At 39.9% G+C, this 18,784-nt stretch overlaps 1 protein-coding gene across 5 annotated transcripts in view; it reads left to right on the top strand.

Annotated features, from left to right (window-relative positions):
* PPM1L (protein phosphatase, Mg2+/Mn2+ dependent 1L) overlaps positions 1–18,784 on the top strand; it is a 322,672-nt gene that overhangs the window by 263,599 nt on the left and 40,289 nt on the right. Inside the window, exon 4 of one of the 5 annotated variants that reach the window (NR_134243.2) lies at positions 16,005–16,291. The exons of 3 other annotated variants lie outside the window; for them this stretch is intronic. Coding sequence is in view for 1 of the 2 variants with exons in the window: in XM_011512440.4 (XP_011510742.1) it covers positions 15,448–15,455 (8 nt within the window). In the remaining variant the exon portion in view is untranslated. Of the gene's footprint in view, positions 1–15,447; positions 16,733–18,784 lie in introns of those variants that run through there. One more of the 5 variants, XM_011512440.4, reaches the window with a different exon arrangement.

An 18,784-nucleotide genomic window follows, 5' to 3' on the forward strand; every position in this document is an offset into this window, starting at 1 on the left:
ATAAAATGTTGTGCTGCTGGGCATGGTGGCTCATGCCTGTAATACCAACACTTTGGGAAGCCAAGGCAGCGGATCACCAGGTCAGGAGATCGAGACCATCCTGACCAACATGGTGAAAAACCCCCTCTCTACTAAAAATACAAAAAATTACCTGAGTGTGGTGGCGTGTGCCTGTAATCCTAGCTACTCAGGAGGCTGAGGCATGAGAATCACTTGAACCCAGGAGGTGGAGGTTGCAGTGAGCCAAGATCGTGCCACTGCACTCCAGCCTAGCGACAGAGAGAGACTCCACCTCAAAAAAAAAAAAAAAAAGTTGTACTAAGCCTAGAAAAAACAAGACATCTCCTAACTCAATTTTATACTCTAATATATACTGGCATTTCAAAATATTTGAACATATATTTAAGTCCTGAACCCTCGTGTAGGCAAATTGGTTATTTATTTCTACACCAGGACATCTAAAATAATACCCTGTTTCCTCCCTTTAAACTTATAAGTAATTGAGAAATAAGACATAGGAGACAGTCAAGTAGCAAGAAGCAAAATAACAGCTTTACTTCTAATAAAGCTGATTGAGGAAACTGACCTTAACATAAGCAAGGCTCATGTTTCAGAGAAGCATTTCAGAGAAGGGGAAATAGGAATGTCCCTTAAATAGTTGCTAAACCTTATCAACTAACTAGGGAAATGCAAGTGAAATCACCATAAGATACTGTTTTGCCCATACCATAGAATTAATTGGAAGTGCTCCTTCCTCTTGTATTTTTTGGAAAAGTTTGTGAAGAATTGGTTGGCATTAATTCTTCATTGCATGTTTGATAGAATTCACTGATGAATCCATCTGGGTCAGGGTTTTTCTTTATGGGAAGCTTTTGATTACTAATTCAATCTCTATACTTGTTATAGGTCTGTTGGGATCTTCTGTTTCTTCTTGAGTCAATTTTATCAGTTTGTGTTTTTTTAGGAACTTCTAAGTTTCATCTACATTATCTAATTAATCTAATTTATTGGTATACATTAAATTGTTCATAGTATTTTCTTATTATCCTTTTATTTTATTGATATAAAGTTGGTAATGATGTCCCTTCCTGTATTCCCAATCTTGGTAATCTGAGTCTTCTCCCCTTTTTTTCTTCATCAATCTAGCTAAAGTTTGGTCAACTTTGGTGATCTTTTTTAAGAACCTACTTTTGTTTTTGTTGTATCTCTATTTTTGTATCATTTATTTATGCTCTAATCTTTATTATTTTCTTTCTTCTTTGGGGTTTAGTTTGCTCTTATTTTCTAGTTTCTTAGGGTGGTAGCTTAGGTTTTTTATTTGAGAGCTTTCTTCTTTAATATAGGTGTTTATAGCTGTAAAAACACTTTAGCTGTATCCCATAAGTTTTGGGTGTATGTTCATTTCCACTCATCTCAAAATATTTTCTAATTTCCCTTGTGATTTCTTTTTTTGATACATTGGTTATTTAGGATTGTGTTCATGACTTCTTTATATATTGTTACATTTTCCAAATTTATTCTGCTATTGATTTCTAATTTCATTCGTTTGTGGTCAGAGAACATACTTAGTATGTTTCTAACCCTTTTAAATTTATTTAAGTTTTGTTTTATAGTCTAACCTGGAGAATGTCCTGTGTATACCTGATAAGAATGTATAATCTGTCTTTATTGGGTGGAGTGTTCTATACATGTCTGTTAGGTCTAGTGGTTTTCTAGTATTGTTCAAGTCTTTTATTTATTTATTTCCTTTTTAATCTTCTGCCTCGTTCTATCTATTAGTGGAAGTGAGATTTTGAAGTTGTCATCTATTATTGTTGAACTATCTATTTTCCTCTTTAATTCTGTTAGTTTTTGCCTCACGTATTTTAGAGCTCTGTTGTTATGTGCATATATATTTATCTCCCTGATGTATTCACCCTTTTATTGTTTTAAAATATCCTTTTTTGTCTCTAGTAATAATTTGTCTGAAGTATATTTTTTCTGATATTCGTAAAGCTACTCTAGTTCTCTTCTGGTTTTTTTTATAGCATACTTTACTCTTTACTCTTAACATATTTGTGCCATTGGATCTAAAGTATTTTCTAGAAAGCACATAGTTGGATAAGATTTAAAAATCTATTTTGCTAATCTCTGCCTTTTTATTAGAATTTTTAATTCATTTATGTTTAAGGTAATTACCTACAAGTTAAAAGTTATGTTTACTATTTTACTATTTGTTTTTTATATGTCTTATGTATTTTGTTCCTTTATCACTCCATTATTGCATACTTTTGTGTAGCTAGATGTTTTCTGTTTTAATTCCATTTTTTTTTTTTTTACCCTTAGTTACTTTTTGAATGACTGCTTGGAGACTGCAAGTAACACCTTAGCTTCAAAATATCTAGTTCATATTAATTCTAAACTAATTTCGATTTTAAACAAAGACTTTGCTTTAATATACCACTATTCCCTCCCCATTCTCTGTGCTGTTGTCAACCAAATTATATGCTTATACATTATAATGTCATCAATAATTTCATAATTATTTCTTTATGCATTTATTTTTTAAATTAGAAGAAAAAAGTTAACAAATAAGATCAAATTAGAACAAAATATAATTCTTTTTAAATTAAAATCCTGCTTCTGTAAAAAAATACATTTCTATTGTCTATTATATTTACTTAATTATTGGTTACATTTGTTTATATATTCATGTGGATTCAAATCACTGTTTAGCATCCTTGTATTTCACTTTGAAGGATTCTATTATGAAATCCTTTTTTTGTTCAGGGCTTCAAGTGACAACTTTTCTCAGTTTTTATCTGAATAACTTACTTAATTTCTCCTTCTTTTTTTTTTTTTTTTTTTTTTTTGAGATGGAGTCTCGCTCTGTCACCCAGGCTGGAGTGCAGTGGCACAATCTTCGCTCACTGCAAGCTCCACCTCCTGGGTACACACCATTCTCCTGCCTCAGCCTCCCGAGTAGCTGGGACTACAGGCACCTGCCACCATGACCAGCTAATTTTTTTGTATTTTTAGTAGAGATGGGGTTTCACTGTGTTAGCCAGAATGGTCTCGATCTCCTGACCTCATGATCCGCCTGCCTTGGCCTCCCAAAGTGCTGGGATTACAGGCATGAGCCACTGTGCCCAGCCTCTCCTTCATTTTTGAAGCACAATTTTGATGGATGGAGAATTCTTTGTTGACACTCTTTTCATGAGCACTTCGATATGTTGTCCCACTGCCTTCTGATGTCCATGGTTTCTGATGAGAAATCAGCTGTTAGTCTCATTTGAAACTTTCTTGTACATTATGAGGGTTTTTTTTTTTTTCTCTTGCTGCTCTCAAGATTCTCTTTCAGTCTTTGGCTTTTAACAGTTTGATTGTATGTCTTGGTGTGGATTTCTTAGAGTTTATTCTACTTGGAATTTGTTGAGGTTCTAGGATGTATAGATTAATGTATTTCATCCCATTTTGTAAGTTTTGGCCATTATTTCTTCAAATATTCTTTTGTTCCTTTCTCTGTCTCATCTCCTTTAGGGAATCCTATATATGTTGTTGCAATTCATGATGTTCCACAGATTGTTAAGGCTCTGCTCTATTAAAATTTTTTAAAATTCTTTTTTCTATCTATTTCTCAAATTAGGTAATGTCAATTGACCTATCTTCAAGTTTGCTGATTCTTTATTATGCCTCCTCATATCGGCTGTAAAATCCTTCTATTGAATTTTTCATTTCATTTACTACGCAAATATAAACCAGAATTTCTATTTGGTAATTTGGTAATTTTTTCATTGATACTCTCCATTCAATGAGATATCATCCTTATACTTTCCTTTAGTTCTTCAGACACAGTTTTCTTTGATTCTCTAAACATACTATGATAGTGGATTTAAAGTTTTTTTCTTGAAAGTCTAACATCTGGGCTTACTTGGGGGTAGTTTCTACTATTAGTTTTTTATCCCTGTGTATGGGCCGTACTTTCCTGTTTCTTTGCATTTCTTATTTTTTTTCACTTCTTGCTTGTGTAGGGCCATAAAGTCATCTAGAGGTAATAAATTAGGGCCTTTTAAGGTCTTTTCTGCACATGCACACAGTCTTACACATGTATCCCAGGAATATGTTGGAGCTTTTCAAATTCCACTGTGGACATCCATTTCCCAAATCTTCCCCTTAAGATTTTTGGGGCTGGGCATGGTGGCTCATGCCTGTAATCCCAACACCTTGGGAGGCCCAGACGGGCAGATCACTTGAGGTCAGGAGTTCGAGGCTAGCGTGGCCAACATGGTGAAATTAGCTGGGCAAAATTAGCCGGACATGGTGGCACACACCTGTAGTCCCAGCTACTCAGGAGGCTAAGGCAGGAGAATCTCTTGAACCTGGGAGGCAGAGGTTGCAGTGAGCCAAGATTGTGCCACTGCACTCCTGCCTGGGTGACAGGGCAAGACTCCGTCTCAAAAAAAAAAAAAAAAAAGATTTTTGGATAGTCTTTTGTTTGGCTTTCACATGACTGCAGTGTTAAATAATTGCCACTGATTGCTTTTAACCAATACCCTGGGGATAGGGCTTTCCTACCTCGGAAGCTCTGAATCAGATCAAATAAGCTCTGGCCGGGTGCAGTGGCTCATGCCTGTAATCCCAGCACTTTGGGAGGCGGAGGCGGGCAGATCACCTGAGGTCGGGAGTTCGAGACCAGCCTGACCAACATGGAGAAACCCCATCTCTACTAAAAATACAAAATTAGCTGAGCGTGGTGGCACATGCCTGTAATCCCAGCTACTCGGGAGGCTGAGGCAGGAGAATCACTTGAACCCAGGAGGCAAAGGTTGTGGTCAGCTGAGATCACGCCATTACACTCCAGCCTGGGCAACAAGAGTGAAACTCCATCTCAAAAAAAAAAAAAAAAGGAAGCTCTGCAAATGAGGTTTTTCCAGTGAGCTCCCAGACAGGTCAGATGGTGACAGTTTTCTGGGGATGGAGCTCTTCTTCAGAGTTCCAAACCTCCTCATCCCCTTTTCATGATGGTTAGGCTGCTAATTTTCACAACCACTGTGAATACAAGGCTGCTAGTTTTCAAGGTTGCCACAGAGTTGGCTAGAGAGGAATGAGAATAGGGTGAGTTAAAACAACACAAAGCTCACTCTTCTTACCAATATTCAGCCATTTTCTTCTTAAATAAGCATGCCTTAGTTTGTTGAAAGCTTCAGGCTAATTTCTAGAATTCTGAAAAAGTTGTTTTTAACAATTTTTTCCAGTGTTCTCATAGTTTCGTGGAAGAGCAGACTTTTGGAAGTGCTTACCCTGCCATTCCAGAAGTCTCTTATGTATAGGTGCTATGGTTTGAATGTTTTCTCACCAAAACTGAGGTGTTGCCTGTGTGACAGTATCAAGAGGTGGGGCCTTTAAGAGGTGATTAGGCCATGAGAGCTTCTCCTTCATGAATAGGTATAAGGCCCTTATAAAAGATCCTTCATGCCAGGTACAGTGGCTTGCGCTTATAATCCCAGCTACTCAGAGGGCTGAGGCAGAAGAATCACTTGAGGCCAGGAGTTTGAGACCAGCCTGGAAAACATAGTAAGAATCCACTTCTAAAAACTTAAAAAAAATAAATAAATTAGCCCGGCATGGTGGCATGTGCCTGTAGTCCCAGCTACTCAGGAGGCTGAGGCAGGATGATCCTTTGAGTTAAGGAGTTCGTGGCTTCATTGAGCTATGATCACATCACTGCACCTTAGCCTGGATGACACAGCAAGACCTCATTTGTAAATGAAAAAAAAAAAAAAAAAGAGTCTCATGCAGCATTTGGTTAGCTTGCCCTTCTATCTTCTACCATGTGAGGACTCAGCAAGAAGGCCCTCACTAGAGGCTGGTGCCTTGATCTTGGATTTCCCAGCCTCCAGAACTGTGAGAAAATTAATTTCTGTTCTTTATAAATTACCCAGTCACTGGTATTTTGTTATAGCAGCACAAATAAACTAAGACGATAGGTTAAGCAAAATGGAAATTAAATATAAACAAAAACTCTTTGAGATTGAGTTTATTTTGATTCACTAGGAAATTAATAGTTCCATGTATTTTCTTATAATAATATTTTAAAGATCTAAAGCAAATAAAGTAAAATCTTAAAAGTTATTAAAGTTGAGTGGTAGGTACGTGAATATTTGTTATATTTTACATTTTCTAGTTAGGGAAATAATAACAAACATAAAAAAATCTTTTTAAAAGAAATATAATTAAGACTAGTTTTGCAATGTAGTCCTAAGGGGAAGTCCAAAGAAGGAACCCAGAAAGGAGGTAAGAGGTGAGGGCCTAAAAGTGCCATTGGCTGTAGTTTACATTCAAACATTAACAGATAGTTATTAACTGCTTCCCAGATGCAATGGTAAGAGTTTGTACTGCCCTTAAGGGGGTACTCACTGGTGAAGGGTTAGACAAGCAAGCAGGTGTGCATGGTATAGTTTCAAAAGATAGCTAAGTGCTAGGTGCTAGGGGAATTTCCACAAAAGGAGGGCCTTTAATCCACAGCTGCTGAGGAAGAGCTGGGAAGACCTCTCAGAAGAGGTAACATCTTAGTCAAGCTTTATAAAGGATGAATAAAAGTTGACGGCCGGGCGTGGTGGCTCACGCCTGTAATCCCAGCCCTTTGGGAGGCCGAGGCAGGAGGATCACCTGAGGTCAAGAGCTCAAGACCAGCCTGGCCAACATGGCAAAACCCTTTCTTTACTAAAAATACAAAAATTAGCTGGGCACGGTGGTGGGCGCCTGTAATCCCAGCTGCTCAGGAGGCTGAGGCAGGAATCCCTCACTTGAACCCAGGAGGCAGAGGTTACAGTGAGCCGAGACCACGCCACTGCACTCCTGCTGGGGAAACAGAGTGAGACTCTGTCTCAAAAAAAAAAAAAAAGAAAATTGACAAGGAGATAGAAGTGTCTTGGTGTCTTGTGCAGGGGAAAATGTACTTGCCAAACTGGTTTTTAATGGCCAGACTCAAGGAACAAGGTAATGGGTGGTGAACAAGAACAATTCACATAGGCCATGCCAATTGTTGAGTTTAAATCCTGGAGGCTATTGCTCTTTGGAAGATTTTAAGGTGGAGAAATAGCAGGGGAAGAAGGGCAGTGAGTACACTGGCTCCAGAGATGAGGGCTGGAATCTGGTGTCAAATTCTGGCTCTGAAACTTACTACCTTGGATCTTGGACAAGTTACGCAAGGTCTCTATGCATTGGTTTTCTCATCTGTAAAATGGAGATAATATTGTCTACCTCACAGAGCTGTTCTCAGCTTTAAATAAGCTAACTGATGTTAATCACTCAGAGGTATATCTAACCACATTGTAAATGCTTAGCAGCTACTAGGAAATTCAAGCAATTTTATGTAAAGATTGGATCATGCTTTAGAAAGATGGCTTTGACAGCACTGTGGAGCAGCTATGATGGGAGTGGGGAGATTGCAGGCCAAGAGACCTTTAGACGATTGGTGCAATCAAGGTGTAGGCCTAGGAGCAGCAGTCAGCATCACCTGGTGTATTAGTCCATTTTCACACTGCTGATAAAGACATACCTGACACTGGGTAATTTATACAGGAAAAAGGGTTTAATGGACGTACAGTTAGTTAGTTCCCTGTGACTGGGGAAGCCTCACAATCGTGGCAGAAGGCAAGGAGGAGCAAGTCTTACCTTACATGGATGGCAGCAGGCAGAAAGAGAGAACTTGTATAGGGAAACTCCTTCTTATAGAACCATCAGATCTTGTGAGACTTATTCACTGTCACAAGAACAGCACGGGAAAGACCTGCCCCCGTGATCCAATTACCTCCCAAAGGGTCTCTCCCACAACACGTGGGAATTCAAGATGCGATTTGGGTGGCAACACAGCCAAACCATATCACCTAGGAACTTGTTACAAGTGTAGACTTTCTGGAATGGGGCCCAGCAATCTAAGGAGCACCAAAAGTCCCTCCAGGTGAATCTTATGTACATCTAAGTTTGCAAAAAGAGAACTGAATAAGTTTGCAAAAAAATTTGCAAAAAGAGAACTCAGCTGGTCAAGCTGAGAAGAAATGAGAAACTGAATAAAACCTAACCATATGGAGGGCTCCTCATGGCCTAGGTACTGAACATTAACTGGTTTAAACAGTAAATCAAAGGTTATCCTCATTTTATAGATAAACCAAGGCTTAGAAAATGTGGCTGAAGTCCTTGTTCGGCCTCATGGCTGGCAAGTGGTGACACTAGGAATCAGACCCAAAACCTGTGCTCTTAACCACTAGGCTCTTCTCATAATCAGAAAGTGATTGAGGAGAAGGGGAATTTCAGAAATCATAAAGTAATAGAATTAACAAGGCTTACCGGGTGATTTGCTATGGTCATGGAGTCATTGTGGACTCCCAAGTCCCTGGATTTGGATAAATATTGATGACATTCTGTGATTCAGGCTGCATGAATGAAACGGCACGTGTAAATTCTAAGAAATTTTTTTTAACATAAGGAGTTTGAGGTCCCTACAGGAAAACAGAATGTAGAGTCCCTGTAGTTTGGACACTCAGGCTGGGAATAAAAATTTGGGAGGCCTAAGTATACAGGTGGATGCAGCTGAAGATGTGGGTGTGAGTGAGACAATCTTAGGCAAGTATGGCAGGAGAAAAGAAAGCGGGCCAAGGGCAGAACCCTGGGGAACAGGTAGAAGAAGAAGCTTCTGCAAAGTAGACAGTAAAAAGAACCAAACAGAGGTAAAGGAGAAAAGGGAAAGGACCCAGACATCCAGGAGAAAATCAGCTCAAAGTCAGCTCAAAGAGAGGCTGGGCCAGCATGGTTGTTGCTGAGAATCTCAGCCTTACTGCAAGGCAGAATCAAATTACTATCCCTCTCCTACCACCCCTCCCCTATGAATAAACTGGGATACATGACACCAACAACAAAAAGGCTCTCCCGGGTGGTAGAATGTTAGGAGAGGGTACCCTAGGCCTGAGGCAGTCATTAATAAAAGCTTATCAGGATGCTGACAGAATGCCAGTGTACGTGCCCTCTAAAATTGTAATTAGTGAGATTGTACTCCTTAACATGCAACTTGGTGTAATAGCAGTAATCTTGATGAACTGTGGTCAGTATGGATTCAGGGAGGTCATCCGTACTAATAAAAGTCTAATTCATCACAGTTAATACACTTTGGGTTTCATATTACACTCCCAGTGCCTTTAAGCACTTATGGTGAGCATAATACTTATTATTTTCCACCTCAGTTCTAGTGTCAGAGCCAGCACATATACAAACAAACAAACAAACGAAACCTAACTGTATGTATGTAGTCTAATGGCCGCTCAAATATCTGAAAGGGCAGATATGGATTTGAAGTCTCACACATAAGGAAACATTTATTGAGTGCTTCTGGTGGCCAACATTTTACATAGGTTATTTCATTTTATCCTCATAAGCACCCTCTGAGATAGTTACAGAAAGAGCCAGACTTAGTGAACAAATGAAGTTGAGTTTTACAGTGCTATTAACTAGCTAAGGTCATACAAATAGTAACTGGAGCTAAGATTTGAAACCCCTGTCCATCTCATTGCAAGTTCATATTATTTTCATTAATGATGCCAGAATGGAATTGGTATTAAATCATCTTGCACATTTTACAAGAATGTCATACAATTCCAGTAAATAAGCTGAATGAAACCACTTTTAAACTTTGAGAAGAAGAAAGCGATATGTAGGCAGGATATTTTTTATTTCCACCATGAATATCAGAAGTAGCATCTGAAAATATAAAAGAGGCCTCAAAATAATCTCTAAAAGCACATTCTTATTAATAGTTTCCAAAAAGAAAACCTTAATCTATTTCCATTTTTTTCTTGACTTTGCTGTTTATCAGTACCCCCAGGAGCTCATTTTTATACATACTACTTTATGGAAACCACCTACCCCTCTACTGTCACCCTTAATATACACAGCCCCATAGAATTTCTCCTTTCCTTGCTATTCTACTGAGCCATAGAGCAGAACTGGCAAGAGAAAACAAAAGAGAGCAAGCCGTTAACCTCTCTGCCTCAGTGGCTGTTTTATAAAATGACATGACTTCATTATATTCCTGATATCAGAACAACTCCCTGCCACCACCACCACCCTACAGCCTCCCTGAAGTTTTCAGCAACCATGAAGAAAAGACTGAGCACAAGCTGGCCCATGGAAACTTGGGAAACTTTTTTACCTCATGCCTGCAGATACCGTGGGAGTAGACTTTGAGCTGCTTCATGCCTGTCTCAGACAAAATTTTACAGACTGTCTCCTATTTTCCATTTTACAGTTTCCAAATCAGCAACTGCTATGGTCTAAACATGCCTCCCCACCTGAATTCATATGTTGAAACTTAGTCACAAAAGTTAGTACTAAAAGATAGGGCCTTTAGGAGACGATTAAGGATTAGTGACCTTATGAAAGAGGTTGAAAGGAGTGCCCTCGTGCCTTTTGCTCTTTTATGTCTTCGCCATGTAAGGACACAGCATTCATCCCTCTTCCCCCACTTTTTTTTGTTTGTTTGTTCGTTTATTAATTTGCCCCTCTGCCTTTTCCACCATGAGAGGATGCCATAAGAAAGTGGCACTTATGGATCAGGCCCTCCCCAGATACTGAATTTGCCAGGACCTAGATCTTGGACTTCCCGGCCTCTAGAACTGTAAAAAATAATTTTCTGTTATCTATAAATCACCTAGTCTCAGGTATTTTGTTATAGCAGCCTAAATGGACTACGACAACAACCTCCTCCTGTCACTATTATAATAATATCAATAACCAAGAGATGCCAAAGTGGGAATTTGGGTATTTCATCATTTAGAGGACTACCAATTAGAGTCAGACTTCTAGATGGGCCCAGGCTCCCAATATTTTTGCTTCCAAATATGTTTTTCAAAGCCATATATCTCCTTCCCCATAGATAGCATCCATACATCAAAATCCTCAGTTATATGAAATAAGAGAAAGAAGGCCTCTAATGTGCCTACTACATTCTACTCACAACACAGGATATAGAAACAATCTCTGTTGAGAAAAAAAAAGGAAAGCTTCCAGAAGTTCTTCCTTTGGTATACTCCACCAGACCTTAGGAAAGGAATGGGATGTCAGAGAAGACTTCTAATCAAAATAAGAGGAGGAAGAAATTTTAGACAAATGGACTTGATCTCAAAAACCACACCTACCCTCCCTCTTGAAAAGGGGCCCAAAATGGTTCACCTCCACTTTCTTTTATTACTTTCCTTTATAAGCTGCTGTCACAGGCTCCAGAGGACTGGTAAGTTCTCTTCCAGAGAAATTCAGACAGGTCAGAAGATTGTATTTCTGAGAAGTACTGAGGGCTGGAAGAATCAGATGTCCTTGTCTGTTTGATAAAGCAAGAGGTCAGTGCAATTATGGCAGAAAATTCATGAAGATACCACAGGCGCAAGCTGGAAAGTAGTGGTTATGGTGGCTTTGTAGATTCCAGTGACCTGGAAAGAAAACCATGGGAACAAACAATTGTTGAGCAACAACTATGTACCAGGATGCATATTGCTGAAACCAAAAGAGGTAAGGTCATTTGCCTGAGGGCATTTAGCTAGACTGTGAAGCTAGGTTGTCTGACTCCAAAGCTTATGTTCTTTTCATCACACTCTGTGACAGAATAGCTCTTCTCTGACTTGTGAATGGCAGCTATGTATTCTGTCCTTTTTTTTTTTTTTTTGAGAGAGAGTCTCACTCTGTCACCCATGCTGGAGTGCAGTGGTGCGATCATAGCTCACTGCAGCCTCAAACTCCTGGGCTCAAAGGGTCCTCCCACCTCAGCCTCCTGAGTAGTAGGACTATAGGTGCATACCACCATGCCTGGATAATTTTTTAAAATTTATATTTTTGTGGAGACAGGTCTCGCTGTGTTGCCCAGGCTGGTCTCAAACTCCTGGGCTCAAGTGATCCACCTCAGCCTCCCAACGTGCTGGGATTACAGGCATGAGCCACCACACCAGACGATTCTCTATACCTTAAAGCAGCAACACCAGCAGTCCATGAGGAGGTTTTAGCCAATTTAACTTACCCGCTAATGATGCTGTTCCCAAACAGCTTTCTATAAGGGCCACTGAGTGGAAAATAGGGCAACAAGGGTTCATAGTAGCATCTTCCTCTGCCTGTGGGGGAAGAAAAGAGAAAGAAAGAGCAAAGTCTAACAGGGCTGACCTATCACCTTCTTGTCTCCTTACCACATCCCATACTCCTTCAGCCCATTTTATTTTAGGGCTTGAACACAAGAGACCATTTTAAAATTACTCCTTTGTAATAGTAGCAGTAGAGATAACCAAAGGGCTAAAGAGATTTCACCAAATGGTTAAAGTGGAGCCACTTTATTTTCCTGTAAGTGGCAGCATGAAATTACCTTCATTCTATTCTGTTAGGGTTAGGTATTCCAGTATTTCAAAGAGCGATCCTACCCTCACCTTTGTCCATTTCTCTATCACTCAATAGGTCACCCCAGAATAATTTGTGAATACTCAAAGTGTACGAAAAATGTATTACAAGGGCTGTCTTTACACATAAATGGAGTTGCTCATCACCTACCTGATACACTTTGAAAAGCACATGGAAGGCTTTCTTACTTACATATATAACTCCTACTAGCATATGACATTTCCTGAAATCCCACCATTGAGGATTCCTGCCCTTGTGTTAGTAGATCAATTGCTATTATAGAAACTTGCTATTCTCAGGTGTTCAACTAACACCTAGGATCCTCAAACCAAGGCAACAGGAATCCTAATGAGGGGATGGGGGTGAAGAGGGAGGAAGTAGAGGTGGCAGATTTTGAAGGCTTGGAGCATGCTTATGAAGAACAAATATGAGTACAGTGCCTCAGTACAGAGAAGTCCTTTTTTTTTTTTTTTGAGAGATAAGAGTCTTACTCTATAGCCCAAGCTGGAGTGCAATGGCATGATCTCAGCTCACTGCAACCTCCGCCTCCCGGGTTCAAGTGATTCTCCTGCCTCAGCCTCCTGAGTAGCTGGGATTACAGATGTGCATCACCACGCCTAGCTAATTTTGTATTTTTTTTTTTTTTTTTTTTTTTTAGTAGAGATGGGGTTTCACCATGTTGGTCAGGCTGGTCTTGAAATCCTGACCTGAGGTGATCCACCCACCTCGGGATTACAGGCATGAGCCACCGCCCCTGGCCCACAGAAAAGTTGTAAAGTATTGGGTGTTAAGGGATGGGTCACATCCAGGGAGGAGATAGAGTATCCTTTGAGATAAGAGTCAACTCCCATTCACAGTTTCTACAAAGAAAATAAAGTACCTAGGAATACAACTTACAAGGGATCTGAAGGACCTCTTCAAGGAGAACTACAAACCACTGCTCAACGAAATAAGAGAGGACACAAACAAATGGAAAAATGTTTCATGCTCATGGATAGGAAGATCAATATCATGAAAATGGCCATACTACCCAAAGTAATTTATAGATTCAATGCTATCCCCATCAAGCTACCATTGACTTTCTTCACAGAATTAGAAAAAACTGCTTTAAATTTCATATGGAACCAAAAAAGAGCCCGTAGAGCCAAGAGAATCCTAAGCAAACAGAACAAAGCTGGAGGCATCATGCTACCTGACTTCAAACTATACTACAAGGCTACGATAACCAAAACAGCATGGTACTGGTACCAAAACAGAGATATAGACCAATGGAACAGAACAGAGGCCTCAGAAAAAAATGTGACACATCTACAACTATCTGATCTTTGACAAAGCTGACAAAAACAAGCAATGGGGAAAGGATTCCCTATTTAATAAATGGGGTTGGGATAACTGGCTAGCTATATGTAGAAAACCGAAAATGCACCCCTTCCTTATACCTTATACAAAAATTAACTCGAGATGGATTAAAGACTTCAACGTAAGACCTAAAACCATAAAAACCCTAGAAGAAAACCTGGGCAATACCATTCAGGACATAGGCATGGGCAAAGACTTCATGACTAAAACACCAAAAGCAATGGCAACAAAAGCCCAAACTGACAAATAAGATATAATTCAACTAAAGAGCTTCTGCACAGCAAAAGGAACTATCATCAGAGTGAACAGGCAACCTACAGAATGGGAGAAAATTTTTGCAATCTGTCCATCTGACAAAGGGCTAATATCCAGAATCTGCAAGGAACTTAAACAAATTTACAAGAAAAAAGCAAACAACCCCATCAAAAAGTGGGTGAAGGATACGAACAGACACTTCTCAAAAGAAGACATTTATGCAGCCAACAAACTTATGAAAAAAAAGCTCATCATCACTGGTCATTAGAGAAATGCAAATCAAAACCACAATGAGATACTATCTCATGCCAGTTAGAATGGTGATCATTAAAGTCAGGAAACAACAGATGCTGGAGAGGATGTGGAGAAATAGGAACACTTTTACACTGTTGGTGGGAGCGTAAATTAGTTCAGCCATTGTGGAAGACAGTGTGGCGATTCCTCAAGGATCTAGAACCAGAATTACCATTTGACCCAGCAATCCCATTACTGTGTATATACTCAAAGGATCATAAATCATGCCACTATAAAGACACATACACGTGTATGTTTATTGTGGCACTGTTCACAATAGCAAAGACTTGGAACCAACCCAAATGGCCATCAATGATAGACTGGATAAAGAAAATGTGGCACATATACACCATATAATACCATGCAGCCATAAAGAAGGATGAGTTCATGTCCTTTGCAGGGATGTGGATGAAGCTGGAAACCATCAATCTCAGCAAAGTAACACAGGAACAGAAAACCAAACACTGCATGTTCTCATTTATAAGTGGGAGTCAAACAATGAGAACACATGGACACACAGAGGGGACCATCACACACTGGGGCCTGTCGGGGGGGTGGAGGACTAGGGGAGGTAGGGGAGGGATAGCATTAGGAGAAATATCTAATGTAGATGACGGGTTGATGGGTGCAGCAAACCACCATGGCACGTGTATACCTATGTAACAAACCTGCATGTTCTGCACATGTATCCCAGAACTTAAAGTACAATAAAAAAATAAAAGAAAATGTGGCACATATACACCATGGAATACTATGCAGCCATAAAAAAGAATGAGTTCATGTCCTTTGCAGGGACATGGATGAAGCTGGAAGCCATCATTCTCAGCAAACTAACACAGGAACAGAAAACCAAACACCACATGTTCTCACTGATAAGTGAGAGTTGAACAATGAGAACATATGGGCACAGGGAGGGGAACATCACACACTGAGGCCTGTCAGGGGGTGGGGGGCAAGGGGAAGGATAGATGACTAGTTGATGAGTGCAGCAAACCACCACGGCACATGTATACTTGTGTAACAAACCTACACATTCTCCACATGTATCCCAGAACTTAAAGTATAATTAAAAAAAAAAAAAAAGAGTGAGCCATCTTGCAGTTTTGACTGAGCTTTGTTCTGCTTATTGAATAGGTAAGTAACCCAAACGGAAAGAAGTGGTGAGCAATGCAGGAAGTGCTCAAGCCTGATGTAAAACAGGAAAACTTCTGTTTCATGGTTTGTGTTGCACAGCGCCCCTCGGCCAAAGAGGAAAGAGCTAATTTTGAGATAAGTAACCATTGCTTCTAATTCTTTAGAAAGTGCTTTTGACTGTAGACAGACATGCTAAAGGCTGTGCCTCATTGTTTGAAGTCCAGATACGTACAACTACTCCTTGTTGTTACTGTAAAAATAGTTCCTGAAAGAATGACTAAAAAGAATAGGAGATGCAAGATTAAAATAACATGAATGGGAGAGGAAGTACAAGACTAAAACTTCCTCATGTCAGAGGTAAGATTGCTTTATTTCCCAACTAAATAAAATCAGGTCATGTATGATTGTTAATGGCAATTCTTGCCAGGAACTTAACCAAAGTTAAAATAATTTTACAGGTTGCTCTAACTTTCCCAGTTTCTGGACATTCCCAATAGATGACTTTGTTATTTTCAAGGACATTCTTGGGGTTTGAACACATTGTTTCTTTTTTGCAGTGCTTTTCAGCATATGATTGAACGTACTCAAGAAGGGTCATGGTTAGTTCAGCAAGCTGATTTCAACATTTGGTGATTGTCTCCAGTTAATGAGCTATACATATGATGTCCGCTTTTATTTTCATCATCATAAACCACAGAAAAAAGGGGAAACAGTATACCAGCAAGTCAGCAAGTCCAAATCAAGCCATGACTCAGATTTCCTAAGAAAGAAAAGATCAGACTCTGCTTTGACATATTCTATCTTAAATTTTGAAATTACTTTGGGGACAACATTAATTATCCAGGTCAGTGTGGGGGAATAGCAGTTCCTCCTTGATCATCCTCTTCATATGGTATAATCACTAACTTCACAGATCTGTACTGAAAAGTTGTTTACCTTTGGGGAAATGGCTCATTATAAGTATGTATATAGGGAATAGTAATATAAGAAAAAATCATAAAGATTTGAGGGTAAGTAGAGAAGATCAGACCCTGTGGAAGTTAATAGCATGGCCCTTGGAACCAGATTACCTAGATTCAAATCCCATCTTCTCTTCTTAATACCTCTGTGACCTTGGACAAATTACTTACCCTTTTTGTGTCTTAGTTCAACCATCTGCAAGATGGGGATATGAGAGTATTATTAGTAGATTGATGTGAGGATTATGTGAATGAGTGTTTGTAAAGCACTTAGAACAATGCTTGTTACAGAGTAGGTGCTCAATAAATGTGACCTGTAATTGTTATCCTTCAGTAATTGGTAAATTTTATGTCTGTAGTCATAGAGTTTGGTTCTTAACCCAGGCCCGGTGCCATTCAAGACACTGCAGAACATAGTGCATATTCCTTCATGTTTATCTAGGTTTTTTTCTCCTTTTTAATGTTACCTTTAGTCCCATACTAGTCATTATCAACCTGTGGTCACCAGTCAGGGAAGTACATTCGTATTGATTGCTGCAAATGCAAAGGTGCTTTCAGAGCAGAGATCCTTGATTTTAAGGGACTCCCATTAAGGTTGAAAAGATGGGACAAGTCCGTTTTTCCTGCCAAGAAAGACATGGCTTCCATGAAATCTTATTTACTATATTTTTGTATCTAACAAGTTCTCTAGGAAGCCTCTCATTTTTGAATCGTAAAAAAGGTCTGTATTCAAAGCAAAAATCCTTTAAAAAAATCTTTGATAATTCTGATCTCTGTGCTTTGCTAGCCCAGATTTTTATTATCTGACCCTATGGTATCCATAAGCATGGTTTTAAAGGTATGTCCACAAGTTATTTGATACTTCTCTCATTGCGGTGGAACTTAATTCTTCTCCCTTTGAGTGCAGGGAGGACTTTATGATTCCTTTGTAGTGAATGAATATAGCAGAAGTGATGGGATAATACTTCTGAGACTGGGTTATATAAAGACTGGCTTCTGACTTTGGTTTGCTCCTTTGCTCTTTGTCTCTGGAATCACATGCTCAGGGGGAAATCAACTGCCATGTCATGAAGAGATGATACTTGGGCAGCCAGTGGAGAGACCTACATGGTGAGGAACTGAGGTTTGCCAGAATCCATGTGAATGCACTTGGGAATGTACCCTCCCCTACTTGAGCTTTTTTTTTTTTTTTTTTTGAGATGGAATTTTGCTCTTGTTGCCCAGGCTAGAGTGCAATGGTACGATCTCAGCTCACCGCAACCTCCACCTCCCAGGTTCAAGTGATTCTCCTGCCTCAGCCTTCCGAGTAGCTGGGATTACAGGCATGCGCCACCATGCCCGGCTAATTTTTTTTTTTTTTTTTTTTTGGTATTTTTAGTAGAGACGGGGTTTCTCCATGTTGGTCAGGCTGGTCTTGAACTCCCGACCTCAGGTGATCTGCCTGCCTCAGCCTCCCAAAGTGCTGGGATTACGGGCGTGAGCCACTGTACCCAGCCCCTACTTGAGCTTTTGAGATGACTGACAGCTTGACCACAAGCTCATGAGAGATCCTGAGGCACAACCACCCTACTAAGCCCCTCAGGATTCTTGATCCTCAGAAACTCTGAGATAATAAATATTTGTTGTCTTAAGCTGCAATTATGTTGAATGAATCTATCTTGTGTTCATTTCTTCAGCAAGACTGGGTCACATTGCCTCATAAAAATGTATGACAGTGGCCGGGCGCGGTGGCTCACGCCTGTAATCCCAGCACTTTGGGAGGCCGAGGCGGGCGGATCACGAGGTCAGGAGATCGAGACCATCCCGGCTAAAATGGTGAAACCCCGTCTCTACTAAAAAATACGAAAAATTAGCCGGGCGTAGTGGCGGGCGCCTGTAGTCCCAGCTACTCGGGAGGCTGAGGCAGGAGAATGGCGTGAACCCGGGAGGCGGAGCTTGCAGTGAGCCGAGATCCCGCCGCTGCACTCCAGCCTGGGCGACAGAGCGAGACTCCGTCTCAAAAAAAAAAAAAAAAAAATGTATGACAGAGGGTTGGTTGTAGGTTGCAAATATCAATAAACATAGTTAAGAGTTTTATTTTTCTTGTATTTTTTAGAGACAGGGTCTCTCTCTGTCACCCAGGCTGGAGTACAGTGGCACAATCATAGCCCACTGCAGCCTCAAACTTCTGGACTCAACCAATTCTCTGACCTCAGCCTCCTGAGCAGCTAGAACTACAAGCATGTGCCATCATGCCTGGCTAATTTTTATTTATGTGTAGAAACGTGGTCTCACTATGTTGCCCAGGCTCAAACTTCTGGTCTCAAGAGATCCTCTTGCCTTGGCCTCCCAAAATGCTGGGATTTGTTTTAAAAAAAAAAAAAAAAAAAAAAAAAAAG

This window comes from Homo sapiens, chromosome 3, assembly GCF_000001405.40.
Source record: "Homo sapiens chromosome 3, GRCh38.p14 Primary Assembly".
Taxonomy (NCBI): Eukaryota; Metazoa; Chordata; class Mammalia; order Primates; family Hominidae; genus Homo; species Homo sapiens.